Source organism: Homo sapiens, chromosome 10 (genome assembly GCF_000001405.40).
Source record: "Homo sapiens chromosome 10, GRCh38.p14 Primary Assembly".
Lineage (NCBI taxonomy): Eukaryota > Metazoa > Chordata > Mammalia > Primates > Hominidae > Homo > Homo sapiens.
The window spans coordinates 62,281,926-62,308,789 of NC_000010.11; the positions used below are offsets into that span (position 1 = coordinate 62,281,926).

The 26,864-nt window shown below is 36.7% G+C and overlaps 1 long non-coding RNA gene across 1 annotated transcript in view; it reads left to right on the forward strand.

The window, feature by feature from the left end:
- LINC02621 (long intergenic non-protein coding RNA 2621) overlaps positions 1 to 22,142 on the forward strand; it is a 44,902-nt gene extending 22,760 nt beyond the window's left edge. Inside the window, exons 2-4 of the long non-coding RNA NR_186389.1 lie at positions 7,596 to 7,722; positions 20,401 to 20,445; positions 21,575 to 22,142. This is a non-coding gene — a long non-coding RNA (long intergenic non-protein coding RNA 2621). The remainder of the gene's footprint in view (positions 1 to 7,595; positions 7,723 to 20,400; positions 20,446 to 21,574) is intronic.
- Positions 22,143 to 26,864: the final 4,722 nt, after the last annotated feature.

Genomic DNA, 26,864 nt, shown 5'->3' on the forward strand with positions numbered 1-26,864 from the left:
ATATAATTTCATCAAACCATTTTTCTGTCACTTAGAAAACGCAATCATTCATTTCTGAAATACCCAATAAATTCTTTAGTTGAAATAGAGTGTAAAATAGCTTATACTATCAACAAAGAGTTTTTTGCCAGCCGTTACCCAAATAATGTGGCTCTCACTTTTTTTTTTTTTTTTTTTAAAGACAGGGTCTCACTCTGTCATCCAGGTTGGAGTGCAGTGGCATGATCATGGCTCACTGCAACCTTGACCTCTGGGGCTCTAGCAATCCCCCACACTCACCTCTTGAGGAGCTGGGACTACAAGTGTTTGCCACCACACACACCCGGCTGATTTTTTAACTTTTTTGTAGAGATAAGGGAGGTCTCACGTTTTCCAGACTGGTCTGGAACTCCTGGCTTCAAAGGATCCTCCCACCTCGGCCTCCCAAAGTGCTGGGATTAGAGGTGTGAGCCGCTGTGCCAGGCTGGCTTTAATTATTTCAAAGGACATTTGTGCATGTCAGAGAATGTATCATCACATATATGCCTTTATTTTTTGTGTCCTAACAATTTCTTCATCTTTTGGCGTTTCATTTCTTTGCTTTCATTTATATGAATTTGTTTCATTTATATGAATTCGTGGAAGTTTATTTAACAACATCACTCCTTTCTAGCATAGTATATAAATAAAAGATGAGATTTTATCTGCAGGTTCAATGTATGTTGCTTAATGTGTAGTTTTAAATATTTTGAAGAATTGTGTATATTAATCATGTACTTGATTCATATGTGAAAAGTGTTGAAGCAAAACATGCTTTTAAAATGTTGCTATGCCCAGAAACAACTACTACTTAATAAATATTAGAGGGTAGATATAGTGTAATTGTTATAAAATGTTATAAAAGTAACAAAATACTGTTTATTAAGTAGTAAAAGCACACTACTGGGGCATATTGACGATCTCTTCTAATAGAAAAGACCAGGTCATCTCACTTCTAAAAAATTTTCTCTTCAATGTCCAATATTACATTTTTCTCTATAGTTTTTATTTAACTGAATTCTACTTGGAATTTCTTTACTTAATAGTTTCTTATGTTCAAGCTCATTATAGAAATTATATACAAAATGATATATATTTTATTATCTAAAATAAAATTAGTTTCCCCTTTTCGGATATTACTTATTTATTTACTGAAACTAATTTTTTTTAATTACTGGTGTTTTAAATTCATAAAATTAATAAAATAAAAGGATGGTTAAAGAAATCATGATATTCATAAATCACTTTTTAACATAATGCTGTTTTAATAAGAATGAGTTTATAAATTGAAATTGTCTGTGGAAAGGAATAATACAATTCTTAAGATCCCTTAGTATATTTTACTGATTTTTTTTCTATTTCTTAATAAATCAATATGGGAAACAAAAGGAGAAACTAATGTTGTTTATCACCTTTCATTAGTCAAACAAAATATTTTCCCCTAAAAACTTTTAGGGAAAATTGCAAATTTAGGTTGTACTAGAAAATTCATTTTAATATAATGACTGGTTAGATTTGTTAAATAAATACAAGATTTTGCTATATATATTTTGAATATGAGAATGGTTTAGTAATTATTATCATGTACAAAGTGGATGTTATGCTGTTTTTCTAAGGTACAAAATAAAACCTACTGTGCAACAATTTTAGCATAAAAGATCTAGTTTGATGTCATTTCTTTATGGCTTAATTAGATCAGAATTTTAGGACTCATGGGAAAATGTATTACAGGACTTTCAAAGCAAAAAAGATTCAATCATAGTATTTATAAATTAGAACAAGCCTTGGAGAGTATTTACCTACTTCTATACCACACTTTTCTAGAAGAGAGTAGATATAATGTAATCATTATAAAATGTTATTTAAAATAACAAAATAATTTGCTATTTATTAAGTACCTTTAGTCTGCTGCAGGGGCATGGTGATAATCAACAAATAATTACAAAATATTTTTAGTAATGTGATAAATTGTTAGCTTCCACTTACTATGGTATTCCTGTAATTGTTGATGTATACTCTATGGCATCTTCAGGTACGATTTCTGTATCTGATAAAAGAACATTTCACAAAGTGGTTTTCTGATGTGGTGTTTTCCATGACAGCATTTATTAAAGGACATGAATTGGTTATTAATGGCTGCCGACCACTATATTTTTCCATTGTTTAAAAATGACTGCTCACAGTATTGGCAAAAACTTTGCCCAGGTACATTATGTCCTCAAGGCCCATCCCCTTATATTCCTCTCTCAACAGCAGCAACATTTGAAAGACTCTTGGTGCAGTTTGTCTTTCCAGCTGTGAGCCTAAAAGCTGTAAGTGCTATTGGAGGAACAGACAGTTAAATGGGAAGAAAAGAGACTGAGAAAGAAAGATGCCCAGTGCTGAGGATCCTGGTGTGCTACTTGTTTTTCTGCCTCCCATACCCAATTGTCACCATTTATATGAAATTCATTAACCAACTGGGAACTCAGTGGTCATGACAGCTGCAATGTCTTTTAAATAAAATGCTTCCTTGATGATGCCATGTCTGCAGTATGGTACAGCTGCACCCACCACAGAACAAATATATTCATTTGTCCACTGATAAAGTCATTTGTTTCTTCCTTGCAGTAGCAGCAATTTTTCTCTTCAAAAATAAAGCAAAATCTCTTAAGATACAGCTCTTGAACAATAGTCACATCTATCTCTTTAAAGCCAAGAGTCAGTCTCAATGTTGCTAAGTTCATTTTCAGCTTTCTTTAGAGGAAGGTTACTGTTAGTAGTATAACCAAACAAATGATATCATCTGCTGAATTGTGAGTCTTAAATTTTTCAAATGAAAAGTGCAATGAAAAGTCCTACCATCTCCATTCTCAGCCTCATACTTACATATACTTTGTAAAGTTCTATATGTTGAATTAAATAATTTCCATGATCACCATTATTTATTTCTGTGGCTGCATTGCATTGCAAACTTCAAATTAACAAGATTAATGCCAAAAGATGACACAACAGTAAGTGTTTGATACCATAGTCATCAATTTAAAAAATAAGACTACAAATCTGATTCTGTTATTATGATCATCATATTTATGCTTGTTTGAATAAAATTATTCATCCAGAATGTTAACAAGATATCTTTCATGTGTCATTAAAATAACTTATGTCAAATACTTGGCTAAATTGATTGAAGTACTTTCAGTATTAATAATTCCATACAAATGTCTAGCAAGAATAACCACTCAAAATTAATTAATGATCAATTATTATGGATTATTTATCTTGGCTCTCATTTGCTTTCCTAATAATCAACCTACTTTTTTTCTAAAATAGGTCAATATGAAATGAGTCCTAGTGATTTCACACTTCTATTTTTTAATAAATCAAAATGGTTAAAAGAATTAGTTATTCTCTTATAAGTTATTAATCTTTATGGATATTATAAATCATGTTTCCATCCCTTAAATTTGATATGCTCATTTTCTTTTTAATTATAATATACTAATATAATAGTACTGCAGTAATTTTATTAGTTCTAATACATTTTGTAAAAATGGATTTATTCTCAAATTAATCATATTTGACTTCATAGTACAAACATCCCTCTCATTATTACACTACTGGTTAGGAGAAGCTCTTTTTCAAGATGTTTAGCTAAAAGTATAGAAAGGGAACATTCATGTCTTTAACTTTGTAATCATTTTGTTCCTGATTTGGATCTTTGCGACTCAATATTAGGTACACAAATTTCTCATTGATTTAAGCAAGAATCCAAGAGATTAAGAATCAAACTCCTTGATTTTTATTTAGCAGAGGATATATGAGCAAGAGTCATATTATCTAGGAAGCTATAGTAAAGAATACAGATTTGAAATGTTGAGTATGGGCCAAGCGCAGTGGCTCATGCCTGTAATCCCAGAACTTTGGGAGGCCAATGCCAGAGGATTGCTTGAAGTCAGGGGTTCAAAACAAGCCTGGGCAACAAAGGGAAACCTTGTCTCTATGAAAATAAAGTAAAATAAAATGAATAAAAGGAATATGATTAAAACAATGTTGAGTATAAATTAAACCTTTGAATCTTAGGTGTATTGAAAAGATGCTGGGTTTCTGACAAAGGGTTAAGCTTCTTCCGTGGTTACTATATTTGAGAAAAGTCATTCCCCTTTTGCATTTGTAGAATTTAACACTTCATTTTGCAATTGTTAAGTCACAGGTGAATGTTAAAATGTCAAACAACTGAAAATAACTACAGAACAAAGATAAAGCAAAGTTATTATCCTGAAAATTCAATCCTTTTTTAAAAAATTCTGCCAGTCAATTCTTACTGTGCATCAGGAAGAATAGTTAATGGATGCTGATTTTAATACCTAGGTGATGGGTTGATCTGTGCAGCAAACCGCCATGGCACACGTTTACCTATGTAACAAACCTACAGATGTACCCCGGAACTTAAAATAAAATTCAAAAAAAAATTTAAAAAGTTTATCATGTAACTCAGTTGGACTCAATTCCTTTTTTACCTACATTACTAAAAAGTAGTATTTTTGTCCTAATGGTTTTGATTTCATAGCTTATGCAACCTCTCTTAAATTATTTCTATGGATCTTAGTAGAGATAAGCCAAAAGCATATCCACCTTCGAAGTATTTTCTTCACCTCTTAAATATTCTCATTTGAAAATGGAATTGGAGTCTATTCACTTAGGTAACTAAATCTTTTTAGTATGATATAAAGTATGAATTAGAGAATTTACATGTAATAACAATAGCAGAAACAGTTAATATTTAGTTTTTTTTTTATTTTGCTGTCATGGTGGTTAGATATGTTCTATCTAATTTAATCCTTACAACCCTGAGGCAGGTAAATACAGAAAAGGAAGCCACAAAGACTCAAAAGTTTAAAAAAACTTGCTCAACTCAAACAGCTGCAAGTGACCAACCTGGCTGGGACTTAAACCAGATCTGTTTGATTCTAGAACGTACTGCACTACCTTTTTAATTAATAGAATAGAATAAAATAGAATGGATTTCTTCTACCAGATTTTGTATTTCATCACTGGCAAGTTCTGCCTTCCACAAAACTCTTGGACACAATACAATTCAGCCAAGTTGTTTGCACCTTTATAACAAGGATAGCTTTTCCTCCAGTTTCCAACAACATGTTTCTTATTTCACAAGCATTTAGGTAATCTCTAAGAATATCACGGCTTTTCTCTACAGCTCTCCTCTTCTGAGCTCTCACCAGAATCACCTTTATGGTCCATTCATGGCAAGCCAGGCTTTTTCCAGCATGTACCTCCAAATTTTTCCAGCCTCTATTCATTACCCAGTTGCAAAGCTGCTTCCACATTTTTAGGTATTTGTTATATAGCAACAACCCACCTGTTGTTACCAATTTCTGTTTTAGTCTGTTCAGGTTGTAGGACAAAATATCTTAGACTGGGTAATTTATGAACAATATGAATTTAGCACTCCCAGTTCTAGAGACTGGGAAGTCCAAGATCAAGGTACTAGCAGGTTTGGTGTCTGGTGAGGATCTGTTTGTTCTTCGTAGATGGCACCTTCTATGTATCCTCACATGGCAGAAGGGGCAAGGCAGCTCCCTGCAACCTCTTTTATAATGACACTAACGTCATTCAGTAGGATACAGCCTGCATGACCTAATCACTTCCCCAAAGTTCCCATCTCTTAATGCTATCATACTGGATATTGGATATTAGGTTCCAACATGAATTTGGAGTGGAGGGTGGGAACACCAAGATTCAGACCATAGCTATTATGTTGCTCAAAGATAACAACAAAAAATTAATATTTGGATATTATGGTTGTAAGTTATAGTCATAAAGCACTTAAAACATTCAAAATTTTGGAGGGTTATAAAATGTTGAGAAAACTCAGATTCACATAAACTAGTTAAGACGAATTGTGTACTACTTTCCAACCACTCACCTTGCAATCTCAGGATGTTCTTTATTCAATTAAACAGTGATGACAGAAATAAACTTACTTCTTAGTCAGGAAAATTGAGTTAACCTGCATACATGGTAACAGGCAGGTAATTCTTCGAGCTGGGTTTTTTAAATGACGGTTTTTGTTTTGTTTTGTTTTGTTTTGTTTTTTTGAGACAGTCCACTCTGTTGCCCAGGCTGGAGTGCAGTGATGCAATCTCGGCTCACTGCAACCTCCGCCTCCTGGGTTCAAGCGATTCTCATGCCCCAGCCTCCCAAGTAGCCTGGGATTACAGGCGGGCACCACCACACCAGGCTAATTTTTGTATTTTTAGTAGAGATGGGATTTCGCCATGTTAGCCAGTCTGGTCTTGAACTCCTGGCCTCAAGTAATCCACCAGCCTCGGCCTTCCAAAGTGCTGGGATTATAGGCGAGAGCCATCGCTCCCAGCCTAAAATGACAGTTTTAAACATAATTAGAAAATATGTAAAAGGTGAAATGTGAATCAAATATTTGTGGAAGCCCAGGGTTGGTGGTGGGCACTACTAGAACACTGCTGCACTGGGCACCGTGCCATATTTTGCTGTCTACTTAATATAAGACAGCAATTTAGCAGCACTTTTTAAAGTTGATAAACAGAGTCAGCCAACTTAAGTTAAAACAAATGCATTGTGTTTTCCTTTGGGCAATTAACTTAGTAATTAATAAATCACTCTTTCTGAAAAAATTAAGCCATTAATATAGGGATAGTGTATGACCCTAAAATTATTTAAAAAGACATGTCTAAATATTTTTAAAATTTGTATTATGGCAAATGTAAAATATAATCCAAAGTAAAAAGACTGATTAAAATAAATTCTCATAAACCCATCATCTGGTTTCAAGACTGTGAACCCATAACCAATCTTGTTTTATCTAAATTACTCCCCTCCTCCCAGCCCAAGCCAAATTGATCCAAGCCATGGATCAATTTGAAGCAAATCTCAAACAGCATATCTTTTCTTCTCAAAGTATTTCATAGGTGTTCTAAAAGATGAAAGAGTTTTCTTTAAGAACATAACCATACTCCTATAATTCCAATATTCCTTACTGTCATCAAATATCCACTCAGTGTGTTCATAGTTCTCTTGTTGTTGCATAGTTTATAATACTTTGTTTGTATGAGCCAGGATCAAAATATGTTCCACACAGCCAGGGACAGTGCCTTATGTCTGTAATCCCAGCACTTTGGGAGGCCGAGGCGGGCAGAACACCTGAGGTCAGGAGTTCTAGATCAGCCTGGCCAACATGGTGAAACCCTGTCTCTACTTAAAATGCAAAAAATTAGCCAGGTGTGGTGGCACTTGCCTATAATCCCAGCTACTTGGGAGGCTGAGGTGGGAGAATAGCTGGAACCTGGGAGGCAGAGGTTGCAGTGAGTCGAGATCGCACCATTACACTCCAGCCTAGGAAGCAGAGCAGGACTCTGTTTCAAAAAAAGAAAAGAAAAAAGAAAAAGTGCACTAAAGAAATATATTTTTTACTGGAAGTAGGCTAGGTTTTTCTTCCATCTTTTGCTGAAGAGAAGAAAATGTCTTAGTTTCAATTCTCCCAATCAACTAAGTGCAGTTTTTATGTCTTTATCCTCTATAAATTATCTTTTTTGAAACAGTGAACGATGAAATGACATGCGTTTGGAGAATGTGTGGTGGATACAAGAGCATATTAATGTTAAACTCCAAAAATATTTTTATCTCAAAGATTGAAAACAAGATAAAGATGAAGGACTCTACAAAATAGTAAGTGATTTTATGTTGACATTGTACCAAAGCCCTGTTTGTGAGATAATGGCTCAATTATTCAGCATGAATGGCTCTGCTTAAAATGCATGATTATCTGGGTCAAGCTATATGAAAATAAAGAAGTCAAACTCATATTCTAAAACAAAAGAACTTTTCTAAATATTTACTTCTTTGGTAGTAGTACACTGATTTCTAAGAAATTTCCCTTAAAACATTTTATTATATTTATTTATTTATTGAGATAAAGTCTCACTCTGTTGTCCAGGCTAGAGTGCAGTGGCGTGATCTCAGCTCACTGCAACCTTCGCCTCCCAAGTTCCAGCGATTCTTCCTGCCTCAGCCTCCTGAGTAGCTGGGATTACAGGCATGCGTCACCATGCCTGGCTAATTTTTGTATTTTTAGTAGAGACGGGATTTCACCATGTTGGCCAGGCTGGTCTCAAACTCCTGACCTCAGGTGATTCACCTGCCTTGGCCTCCCAAAGTGCTGGGATTACAGGTGTAAGCCACCATGCCTGGCCCCTTAAAACATTTTAAAATTTTTAATAGAAGATACATTTTTTAAAATAAAATATTTTATTGTACACAATTGGTTGTGAGGGGTGGAAACCTGGCTCAAAGTGTCTTGAATAAGTGAACTACTTTTCTTTATGTACCAAAAAAATCCATTGAAAATCAATGTAATGGATCCTGCTAATGGTCGACTTCCCCTCCTACCACCTTTTTCCTTGCTGGAACAACCTGCCTCTCACTCTGGAGATGGAAAATGACAGATCTGCACTTTTCCAGCCTCCCTTGCAGCTAGGGTATGGATATGCGACCCAATCCTGGCCAAGGAAACATAAGAAGTCAATTTGGGACCCTTGGAAAAGACATTCCTACTTGATTAAAAGAGAAAGGCCTTAAGAAAATTCACTTTTCTTTCCTGTCTTTGGAGATGATTACATGAGGCTATGATGCTGCAGTAATTGGATAAGAGGTGTGTGCTGAAAGCCTTGATTTGTTCTACTGAATCAGTGCTGGAAAACCCTATCTGATGAACTCTTTGTTATATGAGCAAAATAAATGTTCACTTTTAATGGAATGTCTTGTTATTCGCAGCCAAATGAATTCTAATATTGTTGACTTGAGGCATAGCTAGGTTCAGAAGCTTAACGGATATTACCAAATCTTTTCTCTTCCTGTCAACTCTGTATTCCTCAGAGCTGGCTTCATTATTAGGCCCTAGTTAGTGGCCCCAGGCAGGTTCAAACTATTAATAATATCCTATTTACTGATATCAGTGTCAGCCTAAAGAGAGCTTCTTCCTCCAAAAATATTTCTAGAGCAGTTTTAGGATTTAGTCAGTTCATCCAATTTCAGTTCCATACTTGAGATCTTGAAACTATCCCTCTGGCCACATACACAAAATATAATGACTGGGTCTCCAGATCACTCCCAGAGCTAGAGGTGGGGGCCCATCCTACCCAAACCACACAGAGAGTGGAGTTATTTCCCAATGTCATTAACTGAAAAATGAAGGCAGATGCTCTGTAGATAAAACAAATCAGCAAACAAAGTCCCAGATGTTCAGTGCAATAATAAAAATAAACAAATAAATGTTTACGTTGCCTAAGTATAGGACACAGAGTGAAAAAAGCAGAATTGTGGTAGAGAGACATTGGTTCTGTTTACTGAGTCTTTTAAAGACATCCATCGTTAAACTCTAATGTATTCTGAGTATTAGGTAAGTGCTGCAGATACAGACATGAAAACACAGAGCACCTGCTCTTCTAGTCTAACAAGGGAGATAGAGGGAAATCCGTAATTACAATGCAGCAGATGAATGCATGTGCACTGTGTGTCGTGGTTTTGCAAAGGAAAGGAAGAAGAGGGGCATCTACCTCAGTCTAGGGGTGAGTGAAAGTTTTCATGAAACCTTCCAAGAGTGGGTGAGAGGACTACTGAGTTTTAGAAAGTTGTGTTAGTGAGGACACCATGAGCAAAATCAGATGGGCAGGTGAACTTTTGGTGTATTTGGCTAATTATCGGCTAATTCCAACTCTTGGACTTGAACAAGCTTTCTAGCCTCTCTGTTTTCTCATCAAAAATAAACAGGGCTGGGCACAATGGTTCACACCTGTAATCCCAGCACTCTGAGGGCCAACGTGGGAAGATTGCTAGAGGCCAAGAGTTTGAGACCAATCTGGACAACATACTGAGACCTTGTCTATACAAAACAAAATAAACAGTGGGTGGGTTGAGAAGTAAAGAAAGGGTAGTCAGGATTGGACTTTTAAATGTGTTCTAAGGTTTTTTTTATAGATTTAGAATCTGATTATTCTATTACAACTTCTTGTACTTCAGTCTAACCACTGAATAACAAAGTCATAATGTTTAAATCATGTTCCCTTAAAATTAACTCTCTTAAAGTTAATAGCCTATTTTCTAGAGATAACATTTTACTATTTTCCTCTCAGTGAGTTCTCCAGGAAGCTGCACTGTTAAAGTTAAAAGTTCAGTTGGTACTTTCTGAGTTGCTTTGTTCTGTTTTGTTTAGCTGACATATATTTTGATAACACTTAAGTCATCTTAAAGCTAAAATTATCTAGACCTGCCTTTGAAGCTTGGATCTTTGAGGCTTCAACAGCCCATTCACACTCAGTTACCCATATGTTGGAACATATATATATATATATATTATATATATATATATATATATAATATATATATATATATATGTATTTTTAAATAATTAAAATTTTATTTTAATAGCAAAAGTGCATTCTTTTTTAAAAATTGATTTTAAGTTCTGTGGTACATGTGCAGGCTTGTTACATAGGTAAACGTGTGCCATAGTGGTTTGCTGCACCTGTCAACCCATCACCTAGGTATTAGGCCCGGCAATTTATCCTGATGCTCTCCCCCACCCACCCCAGCCCTTCCCCGACAGGCCCCATTGTGTGTTGTTCCCCTCCCTGTGTCAATGTGTTCTCATTGGCTAGAACATATTTAATATAATTATTGTGAAAATCTGAATTACTGAGCCCCCATTGTAGCCCTCTATATACTACAGTAAAGTTCAGAAAGTGAAGAGGAAGAAAGGAAGGGAACAGAAATTCCCCAGGAAGGTTAAAATTGATGAGAGAAAATGTCTTCTGGGACAGATCCTATGGTGAAATGTGAAGAACATGAGTCAGGTTACTGTTCATCCTGAACTCGGCGCCTAATCACTTTTTCTCTTAATATCTTTTATTTAATGAATACTGATTTATTCTTCATCTTGACTTTTGACTTTGGCCATGCTATCAAATTACTTTTGCAAAATAACTCCCACCTTAAAAACTTCTATTATTCTAAAATCTGTCCTAATATTCACATTAACTTGGAATAAACCTATCTTGAACTTCCTCTTAGAAAACATCTTCCTCTGTAGGAATAAAAAAGATTCTAATCTTTTTCTTGACCCCCTCTTTTAAATAATCCAAAACAACATCAACGGCTATACAAAATTCTAATGTCTATTAAAGTCAACATTTGAACATAAGAGAGAAGTTAATATTTGTGGGATAAACATTAAAAGATTTCAGTCTTGAGGCTTAGGATTTTTTGTGTCTTGTATTTTTTATCAGATTCAAGAAATTATACTCAAGAAAGGAGGCAGTTATTATGCCTCTGTTATTCTTTCTGAAATTAGAATGGGAGAAATAGAATGAGCTTTAGAAGCATTTGAAACTATATAGAGTTATTCTGCTGTTATGGGACTGTTTATTTCAAAGTTTGACAGCAAATTGATAAGAAAACAACAATGTCATACATATTAACTGTGTGATACATTAATTTGAAAATATTCATTATGACAAGTAATGAGAGGAACGGAATGCTCCATTGGTTTAAGTGATCAGAAAACTCATTTGGAGGAATTATGTGCTTTCTCTGGGAATCCGACATAGGAAACTATGAGAAGGCACACACAGTTAGTTAAAGCAGGTCTTTGTATTTGCTCTTATTAGAAAGTTTCAACCTTTTGTAGATGAACTCAAGTGATTATTTTGGAAGACAGAGCGTTCTTAGGTTGGACTGAGTTAACTGGATATTCACCTTGCTTCAGTTAGTGATGTGGAACACCCAGGACAGGAAAAAGAGAAATTACTACAATTTAATATATATTGGGATAAAAGAGCTCACCTTGATTTATCACTCTGAACAAAAGGGGTCTTCCCTCCTTGGAATCCCACACTATTAAGGGAATTTCTGTTGAGAGTATCAATTCCAGACAGTGTTGCTCCAATCTGCTCATCACAGACTGTCTTGGCTGCAGCTCTATGCTGTTGGTGTGCATGGGCTGCACTTGGAAGGTAAAACCTTTAGGGTGGCCAGTTCTCATCATACAGGGCTCCCTTTGCTAACCCCTTGCAACCACAGACACACAAGTCTCTGAGTCTCTCAGGGAACTTTTTGGAGCTTTGGCCAAAACTATCATTGCAGTCATCTTTGACAGCACCAGCAGAATCAAACTTCTCTTTGGGGTGGCTCAAAACTTCTCACCTGCTTTTCTGCTTTTGACAAAAAGGCAACAATTAAAACAACCAAGCATCACTCGTCCTGAGGACTTGGCCCACTGTCTTCTTGTTCTGAGAATCAAGAAAGCAAGATATGGAAGGGATAAACACCATGAACAGGCGTCAATAGCCTGTGATTATAAAATGAAGGGCACTATAACTTTTAAAAGTTATTCTGTTTTTCATATGGGTAATACATGCATGTGATATGAAATTCAAAAGGCACTGAAAGGAATGTAGTGAAAATCTTCCTTCCACCTCATTTCCCAGATAGTTCCTTTCCCCAGAGAAAACCAATTTCACAGGTATTTTCTGTGTAGATAACTTTATATGTATATTATTCTTCCTCCTTTCTCTTCCTTCCTCCTCCTCCTCCATCTCTTCCTCTTCTTCCTCCAGCTCCTCCTTCTCCTCTTACTCTGCTTTCAATGACCTCATAGTAGTCAATTTTGTGGTGGTGGCATAATTTACTCAGTAGTCTCCCATTCATGAATATTCAGGCAGATAACACTTTTGACATAGGTGCAAAATAAATTCATTGATGAAAGGATAGTCTTTTCAACAAAAGGGGCTGCAGCAATTTGATCTATAGGCAAAAACAAAATAAAACAAAATCATGCAAAATAATTTTGACCTAAACCTCTCACTTTATTCAAAAATTAATTTTAAATGAATAATTTAACCTAACACTTTTAGAATGAAACGTAGGTTAACAATCTTCACGACTTGGGAGTAGGGAAAAAATATATATCTATATTTTATATATATACCTCAGGCATATATATGTGTGTGTGTATATATATATAGGTATATATGTGTATATATATATAGGTATATATACGTGTGTGTATATATATATATAGGTATATATATGTGTATATATATATATACCTCAGAAGTTGGTTTATCATGCTGTGGTGAGCCTGTCTTTCCATTTAATATATATATATATATATAAAATGGATTATATATATATATAATACCAAAAGCATAATTCATAAAGGAAATATTTATAAATGATTATTTATCAAAATTAAAAGATATTTTCTCTGTGAAGGACACTTAAGAGAATGAAAAGAGAAGTTAAAGAGTAAGATAAAATATTTTCAAATCGCATATTCTACAAAAAAGACCTGTATCCAGTATACATAAAATTCAACAATACGAAAGCAAACTCCCTAAGTTAAAAAATGAGCAAAAGACTTGACTAGACACTTCATCACAAAAAATATACAAAAGGCAAATATGCACATGAAAAGATGCTCAACATTGTTAGACACATAGGAAATGCCAATTAAAACAAATGAGATATCACTTTAAGGCTATTAGAAGTTTAAAAAAAGGTAATATCAAATGTTCTGCCACTGAAACTCTAAATGTTCTGCCACGGAAACTCTCAAACATTGCCAGTGTGAATACAGAATGGTACAACCACTGTGGAAAAGAGTTTGGCAGTTTCTCATAAAATTAAACATACATTTATGGTCCAGCAATCTCACTCCTAGGTATTTACCCAAGTGAAATGAAAACCTATGTTCCAGTAAAAATCTATATACAAATGTTTATAGCAGTTCTCTTCATAATAGCTAAAATTGGAAACCACCCAAAGGGTCAATAGGTAAACAAAACTGTGGTTCACCTTTCAAAAAGTGAATGTGTAAACAGGACAGTGGTACAAACATCCAATTGAATACTACTCAGTAACAAAAAGGAACCAAACTATTGATACACACAGCCGCTTGAGTGTATATCAAAGACATTGTGCTGAGTTAAAGAAGCCAATTTCAAAATGTTACATGCTATATGATTCCATGTAGATGATCTTTTTAAGAAGAAAGAGTTATGTCAATGGAGAACAGTCCAGTGTTTGCCAGGGGTTGGGGTTGAGGGAGAATATGACTACAAAGGGGTAGCATGAGACTTTTTTTTTGGTGTTGCGGGACTGTCTATATCCTGACTTTGGTGGTGGTGGTTATATGAATCTATATTTGTGTCAAAATTCACAGAACTATACTCTTTCAAAAAATCAATATTATCATGTTTATTTTTAAAAAATTAAAAACAAAATAGAAAAACCCTCCCAGCACTCCCTATGCTCCTAAAGAAATAAAAGAATAGTCAAGACAATTTTGAAAAGAAAGAACTTGGTGAAAGGTTCTATTTTGTTAGATATCAAGACTTATTGTAAAGTTATATTAATTAAAATGGTATGGTATTTTCACAAGATTAGACAGACCAATGAAATAGACTGAAGCCCAGAAATAGATCTATGCATAGACAGATATCTAATTTATGAAAAAGGTGGCATTACAGAGCAATGGACAAAGGATGGTCATTTAAATAGATGGTGCTGGGACAGCCTGAGTGCCTATACAGAAGAAAGATCAACTACAAGTTATATTGTAGGTCTAAATATGAAAGACAAAACAATAAAGCTTTTGGAAGACAATATGGAAGAATGTATTCATAGCCTCAGTGTGGGGAAATATCTATTTAAACAGAATAAAAATACAAATAAGGCTATTCATCACAGTTGTTTATATAATAAATAGAAATAATCCAAGTGTTCAATAATCATAAAGGCTTAAATTATGAATGGAATAAATATTACCATGTAAGTAATCTTTTAAAATAATATTTAATAATATGGCAAAATGTTTGCAATATAACATTAAGTGACAAAAGCATGAGCTAAACTATAAATATTTGTTACTAGAAACATATTAGAAAATAAATATACAAGATATTATCTCTGGTCTTTGAGTCAGATTCCTGACAGGATATGGTTAGCACACTCAGACTAGGTATTTTGAAAAGCATTTAATAAAGGAACATTTTACAAAGATGTGAGAAGGATTTAAAGAGAGAGATTGCCAGAACCCAAGTGGGTGGCTGTGTGCAGTGGGCTGTCTGACAGGAGCCCTTTCATAGACAGATGCAGTAGGGAGTGAACAAGGAGAGTAAATACCCCAGTCTCTCTCCTCCACCCCTCCACTCTCCTGCTGGTGCCTCCCATTGTCCAAGCCCAACTGGAAGGCACAAGGCAAGGAAGCTGGTTGATGCAGCCCCTACAGATCAGGCTCCGAGGGGACAACACAGGGTGAAGAAAGCAGGAGAGTGGATTTGCAGGGGCACATGGGCGGCATCCAGTATATCTGTATGGTGGGATTAGTGGTGATGATTTTTTTTTTTTCATTATAGGTTTTTTTTTTTCCTCCAAATTTCAAGAAAGAACATGCATTAAAGTGGGGAAAAAGTGTTATCAAACCCTAGACATATTATCTGAACATCTAAACATAGCATGTGTTAGGGGCTGGGGAGTATGTGCATGCAAGGGAGTGTACATATATCCCTTTATTGTAGAACCTGTCATTCATCTATATCTGACACTTTTCTGCCTGTATGATGGTTATTTACTGTCACTTCCCACCACAATGTAAACTCTCGGAAAGCAGGGGCCCCATGGATCTTGAACACCATCATCTCCACCTAGAGTGCCCACTCATAGGCACTCAATTCTTAGTTTAATGAATGTATGTCCACCACACATGTCCATGCATACATGCACCAAGCAGGGAACGGGGGATGAGAAGGCCATCTCCCTGTTAATTATTAATACCGAATGAGTACAAAACACCTTTAGGTCTGTTTTGAAATTCAGTGCTGAAATGATGATAAGTGGTTATTTAATCTTACATAAAATTTCAAAAGTAAAGTCCCACTTGCCAAGAGAAAATTGTTGGTTTTTACAGAGCATACTATTTCTTTTGAATATTAACTACGCAATTATACCTCAGAAGTTGGGTTGCCATGCTGTGGTGAGCCTGACTTTCCATTTAATATAAACGAACAGATGTTCCGTGCATGCTGGGGACAGGGGAATCTGTCCTCCTTTCTCTTGTTTCCCACCCACAACCCCGCTGACTGTTCTCCACATTGTGGGTACATCCACTCTTCGAATTATGCAACACAGAATCAGGAACCATGCTCCCAGTTTCTTGGCATTAGATCACCATTTTGCTTTAAAAAGAGAAGTTTTTGAGGTTAATCATAAAGGTAAATGAAAGTTTGGAACAACCCAGGGAGAAGGAGTGGAGGCTCAGGGATAAAGTTTAGAGGCAGAATACAATTTGTGAGAGTTAAAAGATAAATTTAGAATGTGTTATTTCGAATCTAATTACATTTCCAGCGGCAGTTGCTGACCAAGGACTAAAATCTTGATATCTTGATTCTAATCAGTAAATAAAGAGAATGAGAATTTATCTTCTAGGAATTCTACTTAAATAATTTTGAAATTATTTTGTTACTAAACGTTTTCTTGCATGTGCCTTCTAATATATTTTGTTTCAAGTCCATGCTATAAGCCATTATTAATGGTTTGCTTCTTAGGAATTTATGATCAAGACATACAGGAGAGCCCCTTATTTTTTGGGTTCCATCTTCCACATCTGGTGGGAATTGGGGTGTGGAAAAGGAACTGCCCACAGGGTAGCTCTGGGAAGTGGAAGCTTTCAGGGAGTCAACGCAGAGAAGGCTGACAGCTAAGAAGTGTCATGTACCTGGAAGGACCATCCAGTGCAGAAGGGGAGAGGACTAAGGTCACTAGTCCTGTTGAAGGGCAAAGGTGAAAAGATAGAGTGGCAATAATGTTGGTTACCAGGAAGTTTTCTAGATACTATAATTTTGGTTTTAGTTGTTTTAAAAATGGGGTGGAACCAACAGAATGTTTCTACTGTTTCAACTTCCCAAGTAAGAATGTTGTGGCAGCCACTACAAGCTACCTAGTCAGTAGCCATTCCCTCCTTCTCTTCCTTGCTAATAGTCAGACTTGTTCAGTTAGACAGGACAGATCCCTGACCATAGGAAAGATTGGCCTCTTCTTCAACCCTAAGGGTGAATCATGAGACTTTAGACTAGTGCGGTAATTCATTCATTTATTCAACAATTGTTAATTGAGTACTTACTATGAATCAGGCATAATTGTAATCATTAAGGATACAGCTCTGAATGAAACAGATAAAGTTCTTGCCCTCAAGGAGCTTATATTTTAGTGAGAGGAGATGAACGATAACTAAGTACATAAGCCAAGAGACTATGTCAGAAGGTGGGCTAGGGAGAACAATTAAGCAAGGTGAGCTAGGAAATGATGTATTGAGAGGTCAGGGATGGTGGTTCTTTTACATAGGATGGTTAGAGGGGACCCGTAGGAGAAGGGAGTGAGTCATGCCAGTATCTGGAGGCTGGAAGGCCTTGAGGAAAAGTCAGCCTGGGTGTGTTCAAAGACCAGCAAAGAAGCCAGGAGGTTTGGAACAGAGAGGGGGAAAACAGAAAGAGACCCAATCAGACAGGGAACACAGAAGATGAGTAGGAGGAGGTCAGATTGTGTAGGCCCACTACACTTTGGCTTTTACCCTACCTACAATGGGAAACTGCTGGAGGATTTGAAGACATGATTTGCAATTTGTTTTAAAAAGAGCTCTTTGGCCGTCATGATGTCCCCTGGTCAGTGATTGGTCTAAAGATTGTCATCTGACCCTGTTCTGTCCATTTACTGTGGAAGTCTTCTGTTGTCAAATTAAAACTAAACTAAACTAAACTAAACATTATGAATAGAAGGCACTTGCCTTTCCCTGCTTCTTTCTGTCTGGAGCTTTGATGTGATGCTTGGACTTGTAGCAGCTGTCTTGCTACCAAGAGGGAGAAAGGCATCGTGCTGTGGATGGTAGACTAGACATATAGATGGAGCCTGGGTCTTTGATAACATCACTGAACACTTATAGCAGCCCTTGATCTTCTACTTCCAAACTTTTTATTAGACCTATTTTAGCAGGTTGTTGTTCCTTGTAGTTGAATACATTCTAAACTGGAACTGACGTTGAAAAATAAAAATAAAAAAAAGTGACTATGCACACTTGAAATTATATTTAAGTACCAAAAGTGGAAGAGACATATTCTCAGAATAAAAGATACAAATATTTAAATGGAATCAGTTTAGTTTTATAAAAATCTCATAATCGTTTCCTAATTCTTCTCATATCCTCAGGGAGCACTGAAAAGCTTGCACAGACTAAGCTCTAAATCTTAAGGAAGGAGCAGCTGGACAGGTCAGCAAATCAGGTCCTTCAATGGTGGTTATGAACTAGACTCACTCTACTAGAGGGAGGGTAGCATTTCAGGTTGGGTGACCCTATGTTAAGGTTTTCTCAGGACAGTCCTGGTTTACACTTGCTGTCCTGTAGTATATCTTCTTTCACCATCAAGAATGTCTTGGTTTGGATAATAAGTTATAACATCACCCTACTTAAAGGTGTTACTGTACAATTATTGGTTTTCTTCATGTAAACATTTTCTTTTTTAGGAATTGTTTAGAAATTTATTCATTTCTCAAAAATCTTAGGGAGAGCTATACAAGAATCGATGATCCTCAGTAAAATTGGCAGGTTGCACTTGGTCTTTGTAAATGCTTAAGGCAACACACTTTACCAAAATAGTATGTGAACTCTAAGACATTTTTCATGCATCCCTTCCCAAATGTCACCTTGTAAAGGACACCAGCATGAACTTGATATGAATGCTGGAACTAAAGAGGTCATAAGCTGGTCTTGAAAATTCTTTGAATACATGTTCTATATTCCAAGCACAAAAACTGTATAGTCTGATTTGATTTCCACAATATCTCATAAGGTATGTAGAGAAGAAATTCTTATTCTCACTTTATAGACAAGAATATGAAAGTGGAGAGAAGTTCAGTGACTTTCACAAGAGAGTGTTACAATAACTTCTCAATCCTGTTTTAGGATCAGCCCAAATTGGACTTTAACTTCACTCTTCTTTCCACTACATCATGTAGTTTTTCACTTGCAGGTATTTTGGAGAATACTTTATTCAAGTGAGTGGAAAGGACTGAAATGAAGGGAAGGTGATATTGTTTGACTGTGTCCCACACAAATTTCATCTTTTATTGTGGTTCCCATAATCCCCACATGTTGTGGGAGGGACCCGGTGGGAGGTGGTTGAATCATGGGGGTGGCTACCCCCATGCTGCTATTCTCATGACAGTGAGTGAGTTCTCACAAGATCTGATGGTTTTATAAGGGGCTTTCCCACCTTTAGCTCAGCACTTCTCCTTCCTCCTGCCATGTGAAGAAGGACATGTTTGCTTCCCCTTCTGCCATGATTGTAAGTTTCCTGACACCTCCCCAGCCATGCTGAACTGTGAGTCAATTAAACCTCTTAATTACCCAGTCTCAGGAATGTCTCTATTAACAGCATGAGAATGGACTAATACAGAAGGTAACTGCAAGTAAGGAAAATAAAAACTTTTAAAGTAATGCTTCAGGGTTTTTTATCTTAAGATAATAGTTTTTATTTTGTTTGTGAAGGTTGCTTAGATTTATCTTACTAAAGTAATTGAGAGAAAAGCTTGGGAATGGTATCTAGTAACAACCTCTTAGATTTCTGCCATATTTTGTAGCTATATACTAAAATTTGATGTTTAAAAGATACATACTTACATTACACTTTAAAAGCACTTACCTTGAAAACACACACACACACACACACACCACACACCTCCTCCCCATATACACATGGAAGTAAATAAATAAAATGTTTCTGAAAATATGTACAAAAACTGAAAAGAGGCCGGGCACGGTGGCTCACGCCTGTAATGCCAGCTCTTAGGGAGGCCAAGGCGGGTGGATCACGAGGTCAGGAGATCGAGACCATGCTGGCTAACACGGTGAAACCCCGTCTCTACTATAAATACAAAAAATTAGCCGGGCAAGGTGGCGGGTGCCTGTAGTCCCAGCTACTCAGGAGGCTGAGGCAGGAGAATGGTGTGAACCCAGGAGGCAGAGCTTGCAGTGAGCCAAGACAGCACCACTGCACTCCAGCCTGGGCGACAGAGCGAGACTCCATCTCAAAAACAAAACAAAACAAAACAAAACAAACTGAAAAGAGAATTGCTTTGGAAATGGGCCCAGGTTTGGGGAAAAGTTATATTTTATATATTATTTGTATGAGTTTTGTATCACTGTACGTTTTACTTTCAAAATTAAATAAAAAGTTTAAGACAATTAAAGGAAGCATCTATGAATTAATAAGAATTCTAAACTTTATTTTTCCTATTTAGGAAGTCAATTGTGGAAGGAAATGTCATATTCAACATCTTAATGAGGTAAAAAGTGAATATTTGAGACTGAATGTCAGTGACTTGGCTCTGAGAATATGGTTAGTATACAGGGTAGAACCCTAGGGACTTGGTTCTGGTGCTGGCTGTGCCCTTTACTCAGTTCCCCCTCCTCCTGAGGAGAAATGTGCTCCCTAATACTATTGCAGCTTAGAGATGAAGGATGGAATGGATATGATTTCTGTAACATTCAACAAATACTCAAAAAATATTTAACAAATGCCCAGGAAGGAAACCAAAATATGCTACTCCAAAATATAGTTATTTTGCACATTTTGAGATGGATATTCAGATGAGTTGCACACAAAGAAACAGCTCTAAAAACAGTCCTTTGTAAGGCAGGTTTGCATCTGTAGAGAAAATCTATATTAGTGAAGTAAACAGCAGAGACAGAGGCTTTCTGCGGGGTTTTCTTATCCAGATCTAGGAAAGTTTAAATCGCAGAAAAAGAAGACTAAGTGTCTGACACTTTTAAAAGTTCCAACAGAGAAACTGCTATCACAGACTACCATCTATTCTTTCTGATGGCTGCTACCTGTGAGGTTTCATCTGCATACCATGACAGCTTTTGCTCACCACGCCTTTTCTCCCCTCTGCCTCCCATAACCTGCTACCAGCTTGTATTACTTCCTGTATTGGTATAAAAACTTCAATCATCTGGCTCTTCTTTGAGTCTCATATTTGAAATATTCCTGTGTCCATATGTGCATTAATAAATTTGTATGTCTTTTCTCCTGTTGATCTATTATCAATTCGCTTCAGTAGATTTTGACTTGAACCTTCAGAGGGAAAAATTTCAACTTCCCTATATCCACTATGTGTAGGGCACTGGGCTGGGCTCTGGGTAACACACACTGTCAGTTAAACCAACCTGCTCCCTACCCCTGTGGACTTACAGTCTAGTAGGAGAAACAGACAACAAATAAATATGCACATAGGTATGAAATTGCAAAGTGTAATAAATATTGTGAAGCAAATGAAAAAGGCACAGTGCTGGAGAATAAATGAATGTAAGAATGAACTAACACACTCTAACACATGTTTAATTCACCAGAGTAACCACACAACAAAACTGCTCAAAGCCTTTTTTTTTCTTTTTTTTCTCCTTCTGTGAAAGGAATAGGGTCGAGGAGTGAAAAGAAGACAGGATTCAGTCAGAAGAGCTGAGTTCTGGTTCCTCCACATAATACCATGGCTGTAGAAGTGACACATATTCTAAGCCTCAATTTTTTGGCTGACTTTCCTCATTCATAAGGTTGTTGTGAAAAACAAAGCAAAACTAATCAATATGAGTAAACTGCTATGAAACACTGTCTATTATATGTTTTCTTGATAAACATTTATTGAGTGCTGTCTTTCAGTTGGTCTCCTGTGTTAGTAGCTTGTCATACAGAGCTTCAAGAAGTCAAGCTTCAGGCCATAGTCACAAAGAATTCAGCTCTGATTTGGAGAGATAAATAAGTACTTAGGGTGAGGTTGTGTACTAACAAACCCACTGTAAAGTCAAAAAATTGTAAGCCAAACCGTCAAAAGTAAGAGACTGTATATGTAACTATGTGTGTGTGTGTTGTTGTTTTTAAGATGTGTTTTGGACAAACGAAAGTAAAATCTCATTTAAAAGATTGATTTTAAAAGCTTCCTCAAAGTTTTGTCAGTGCATTATTAGAGATCCAGCCCAATATTTGTCATCATTTGTATCTATTATTGCAGACAATGAGAATAAATGTTTACAAGGTGATGCAGCTATGCTATGTGAATCACCAAAGATTAAATAATCATCAGTATACATTTGTGTGACATATTTTTGCTTGTATTTTATAGATGTAAAAACAAATAATTCATCTATAATAAAAATGATTGGCTGGGCGCAGTGGCTCACGCCTGTAATCCCAGCCCTTTGGGAGGCCGATGTGGGCGGATCATGTGGTCCGGAGACCGAGACCATCCTGGCTAACATGGTGAAACCCCGTCTCTACTAAAAATACAAAAAATTAGCCGGGCGTGGTGACAGGTGCCTGTAGTCCCAGCTACTCGGAAGGCTGAGGCAGGAGAATGGGTGAACCCCAGAGGCGGAGCTTGCAGTGACCTGAGATCGCGCCACTGCACTCCAGCCTGGGAGACAGAGCAAGACTCCATCACAAAAAAAAAAAAAAAAAAAAAAAAAAAAAAAAAAAAAAAAAAAAAAATCGCACTTTCTAGAATTCTAGCTTGTTTGCAACACACTATTCCATGATGACAATGTCAGATAAATTAGCTTTCTCTATTAAAAAAGAAAAGCACTTTCTGGTTTAAATTATGGATTATGAAAAGTAAATGGTTTGTGGATAAACTGAAGATGCTTTTGCCAAAACTAGAATTTTTTAAAGAAGAAAATGATTTGGAAAGGTTGTTCCTACAGCTAGAATTTCTCAAGAGTTGAAGCAGAGCCTTTATATATTTAAATTAAAGTGAAAATAGAAAGTTTAAAATATCCCTCTTGCACCTTTAAAAATAAAGACTCCACTGTGTTCATTCAATCATTAGAGTCCTTTGGTTCACAAGTTCTACAAGTGATTTGTCTGAAGGGACTGAATTTTTGTAACTGAATTAATGACCTATTTTGATCAATTATCTCTATACCTAAAGAACCTCAGAAATTACCCACGTCAATATACTCTCTCAAGTGGCTTATTTTTCAAAACCTTTCTCACATTCCTACTTGTGTTTAGTTTGATCTTTAAATAGAATGTTATATAAAATGCTTCTTGAAAACTGTAGTGCTTGAAAAAAATTCATGGAATAATTAAAGCAATATTCTTAAACAAAATAAAATAACATGAAGAAGTGAGTAAACTTCTTTAAAAATCATTTTGGCTTTTTTGTAGCAATTTCAAAAGTCTATGTTACTGGTGCTCTTATAGAAACAGTACTACTCCACTTATTTGGTACCTAATTGTTCCTGCTTCTGGATTGTTATTGTTCCCTAGTTCCTTCCTATTCCTCTATCACAACTTAACTCCTGTGCTCTGCAAGAGACTAAATCATATGACTTTTGATGTTTTCTCTGTTGATAGTTCCTGTTAGGAATAAGATGGGGACAGAAGCTGAAGCTACTTACAGAAAGGAAACAAATGGATTATTGGTTGAAAATTATTACCTATCAAGTTATAACCCCAATCACATCGATGACCATGACCATCATGCTCAATACTGCACCTGGTGTGGAGACTGGCATGGTGTTCAATAAATATTGGTTGGATAAAATGACTCCTATCAGTCCTGAGTCTTGCTAATATGCATGACAAAGGCAGATTGTATAAACATGGCAAAATCACTGGAATATTAATCATAAGACCGAATTGGTCAACAATATAACACTGGACAAGATGCTTTGTTTATCAGGTCATGGCTTTTAAATTTTAAAATGAGTCTCTTGGACTGGAATACTACTTCAAAAATATTTTTATCTGTTTGTTTTTGTTTTAGTAAGGGGGCATTATATTAACAAGATATCTTACGTGGAATATCAGCATCTTTATACAACTATTAGAAGGAGAACACATTTGGTTTCAAACAAGATCAGAAACCCTCCTACTCTTTGTTGACTATCCTGCACTGCTTCCTCTCCTAGCATGAGTCTTCAGTGACCTTTTTTTGAACTCTCAAGCTCCAGAGAACACAGTTTGAAAGCCAATGGGCTTAGTTATTTTAAGATGCTTGTTTGAAAATTTTATGACCAACAAGAAAAGATGGCATAGTGAAGAAAAAACACACAGTTCTCAATGATAGTTGGAATCAGGCTCTACCCCTGAGCTATGGTTGGAATATGTTCCCAAAATTTATATATTGGAAACTTAATCTCCAATGCAGCAGTGTTAGGAGGTAATGGTTACCAGGAAGTGTTTACGTTATGAGGGCTGCATCCTCATGAATGGATTAATACTGTTATTAAAAAGGCTTCACGAGTGGGTTCACTCTCTCTTGCCTTTTGTCTTCTGCCATATGAAGATGTAGCAAGAAAGTCCTCACCAGACCAATTGCTGGTATCTTCCTCTTGGACTTCCCAGTATCCAGAAATATGAGATAGTAAGTTTCTGTTCTTTATGAATTACTCAGTCTCAGATATTCTGCTATAGCAGCACAAAATGGACTAAAACACCCTACATTACTCCGTGACTTTGTAAGTCATTTCTTGTCTGTCAGATAGAACTACCCTGCCTAATAGTGGTGTACTGATCAATGACTATATAACTTAGGAAGTAATTGTTCTGATTATTGCTAGAAAGCAAATTTCCTAAAACTTTTGTGGTTGAAATAGCACCTCAAGATTGTGTGGGTCAGGATTTCCAAAGCGTTTCCTTAGAGGAATTTTCTGTTTGCTTGAAGGTATTCAGCTGGAAAATGGGCTGGTTAGGATTGTCCACGTGAGTTTCACTCACATGTCTGTATTCTTGGCAGTGAAACAGGAAATTTACCCTGACTGCTTCGCGGGCAGGAACTAGAGTGCCGGCACTGGAGCTAGCTAGCTGCTTCAGCAACAGCAGGGGCAAACTTCACTCACTGGAACCTACTGTGCTCAACCCCTCGCGGGAAGGAGCATGTGGGTGCAGGAGCCGGGGCAACTGCTTCTGGGCACCAGCAGGAGCACAACTCCATGCGGGGCCTGCAGCAGCATCTAGTGGGGGGCACTCCCCCTTAAGCCCAAAAAGAAGTGTTACAGTCAGCAATCCTTTACCATTGCTGTCTGCAGACGGCTTATGTGTTAGCAGCTCAGTGTAGGGTCAGTGTGACACCTTTTGCATGCACCCTCTTGGCACCCAAGTTCTTGTCTAGCATTCAGGAGGAATTAGCTCACATAAGTGAGTTGAAGATGGTAAAGGTGGGGGATTTTATTGCTGGTGAAAGTGGCTCTCAGTGGGAAGGGGAGCTGAATAGGTGATGGAGCAGGAAGGTGATCTTCCCCTGGAGTCCAGTTGTCTAGGTTGGACTCCTCTCTGAAGCTACCCCGTCAAGCTGTCCCTCTGAAGTCAAATGCTTCTCTCCAACGTTCAAACATAGTCTCTGATGTCCAACTGTTTTTCCTCTTCTCTCTCTGCTGGCAGAGCCTAGGATTTTTATGGACACACAATGAGGGGTGGGGTGAGCCATGGGTGGTTTTGGAAATGTCAACATTTGAGTGGGAAAACAGGGATGTATGTTCTTACCTTGGGCTGTGGTTCCAGGCTTGAGGGTAGGGCCCTCGCTGGGGACCCATCCTCTTCTGCCCAGAATTTCCGTGCCTCTTGTCCCTATCATTAGGGATGGATGGATGACTGGAAGCCTGGACTCAGTCGAGACTGGCAACAGGAGTGCCTACCCCAGTTCTTTCCAGCATGACAGACTCAGGCCGAAGTCTCCAAGAATAATTTTCCAGCAAATGGGGCAGAAGCTGTATGGCCCTTTATGCCCCAGCTCTGGAAATCACTTAGCATTCCTTCTGCCATACTCTACTGGCCTAAGATTTCACAAGCTTGACAAGGTTCAAGAGGGAGGAATGGAGACCACACCTCTCAATGGGAAGAATGTCACAGAATTTGCAGCCATGTTTTAAAACTATCAAAGTTATTATAATCTTTAGAATCTGCCTCTTACTGCGTAAGTCAAGAAAAATTGATAAGAGTAATAGAATTCTCTCCACTGTCATAGGAAGAGAATATTGCAAGGGTCCACACTTTCTTGCAAATTTTATATTATGATTAAATGTACCATGCTGAACCAAATGCCAGGGGTCTCTTGAGTGCTATCCTTCAGGCAAGACTTTCACCTGTGCTATAGAATGTTTTTGGCAGAATTATTTGCCATCAGTATCCTTCAATATAAACAAGGCTTTTCTAGTAAGAAAGTGCTAACTCACTCAAGCATTGTTTAAAGCTGCTTTTGGGAATGACTCTTACAGTTCCTGGTATGTAGACTTTGTTATGCAACTAGAATCATTTGAATTTTTGTTCTTGCCTCCAGTTATACCAGAAACAAATAAGTTAAAATTCTAGAATGTTTGTTGTCTGGAGAAATATATTGAACACACTTTTGGACACAGCTTACTCTTTTAAAAAAATGTGCTATTATGTGGAAAGATAATTTAAAAGTGTTTAGGAGGCTAAGTTATATGTTGTCTTTGATACCGATAAAATGGACTTGGCTGGACTTTTCCTAAACAGATGAACGGTATCAAGGAGTCTCGTTCCACCACCGAAAGTCATTTTTTTTTTTACTTCTACTAATTCCACATATCTCCTGGAGAATTCTTCTCCTTGTGTGGAATATATAACTAAGAATTTTAAAAGATACATTAGGGAAAACAATATTGGGAATCAAATCAGAATACTTTGATGGAGAATTGCCATAGAATTTTTCGTAGAACTAAATATGAATTATTTTTCTTGTGTCTT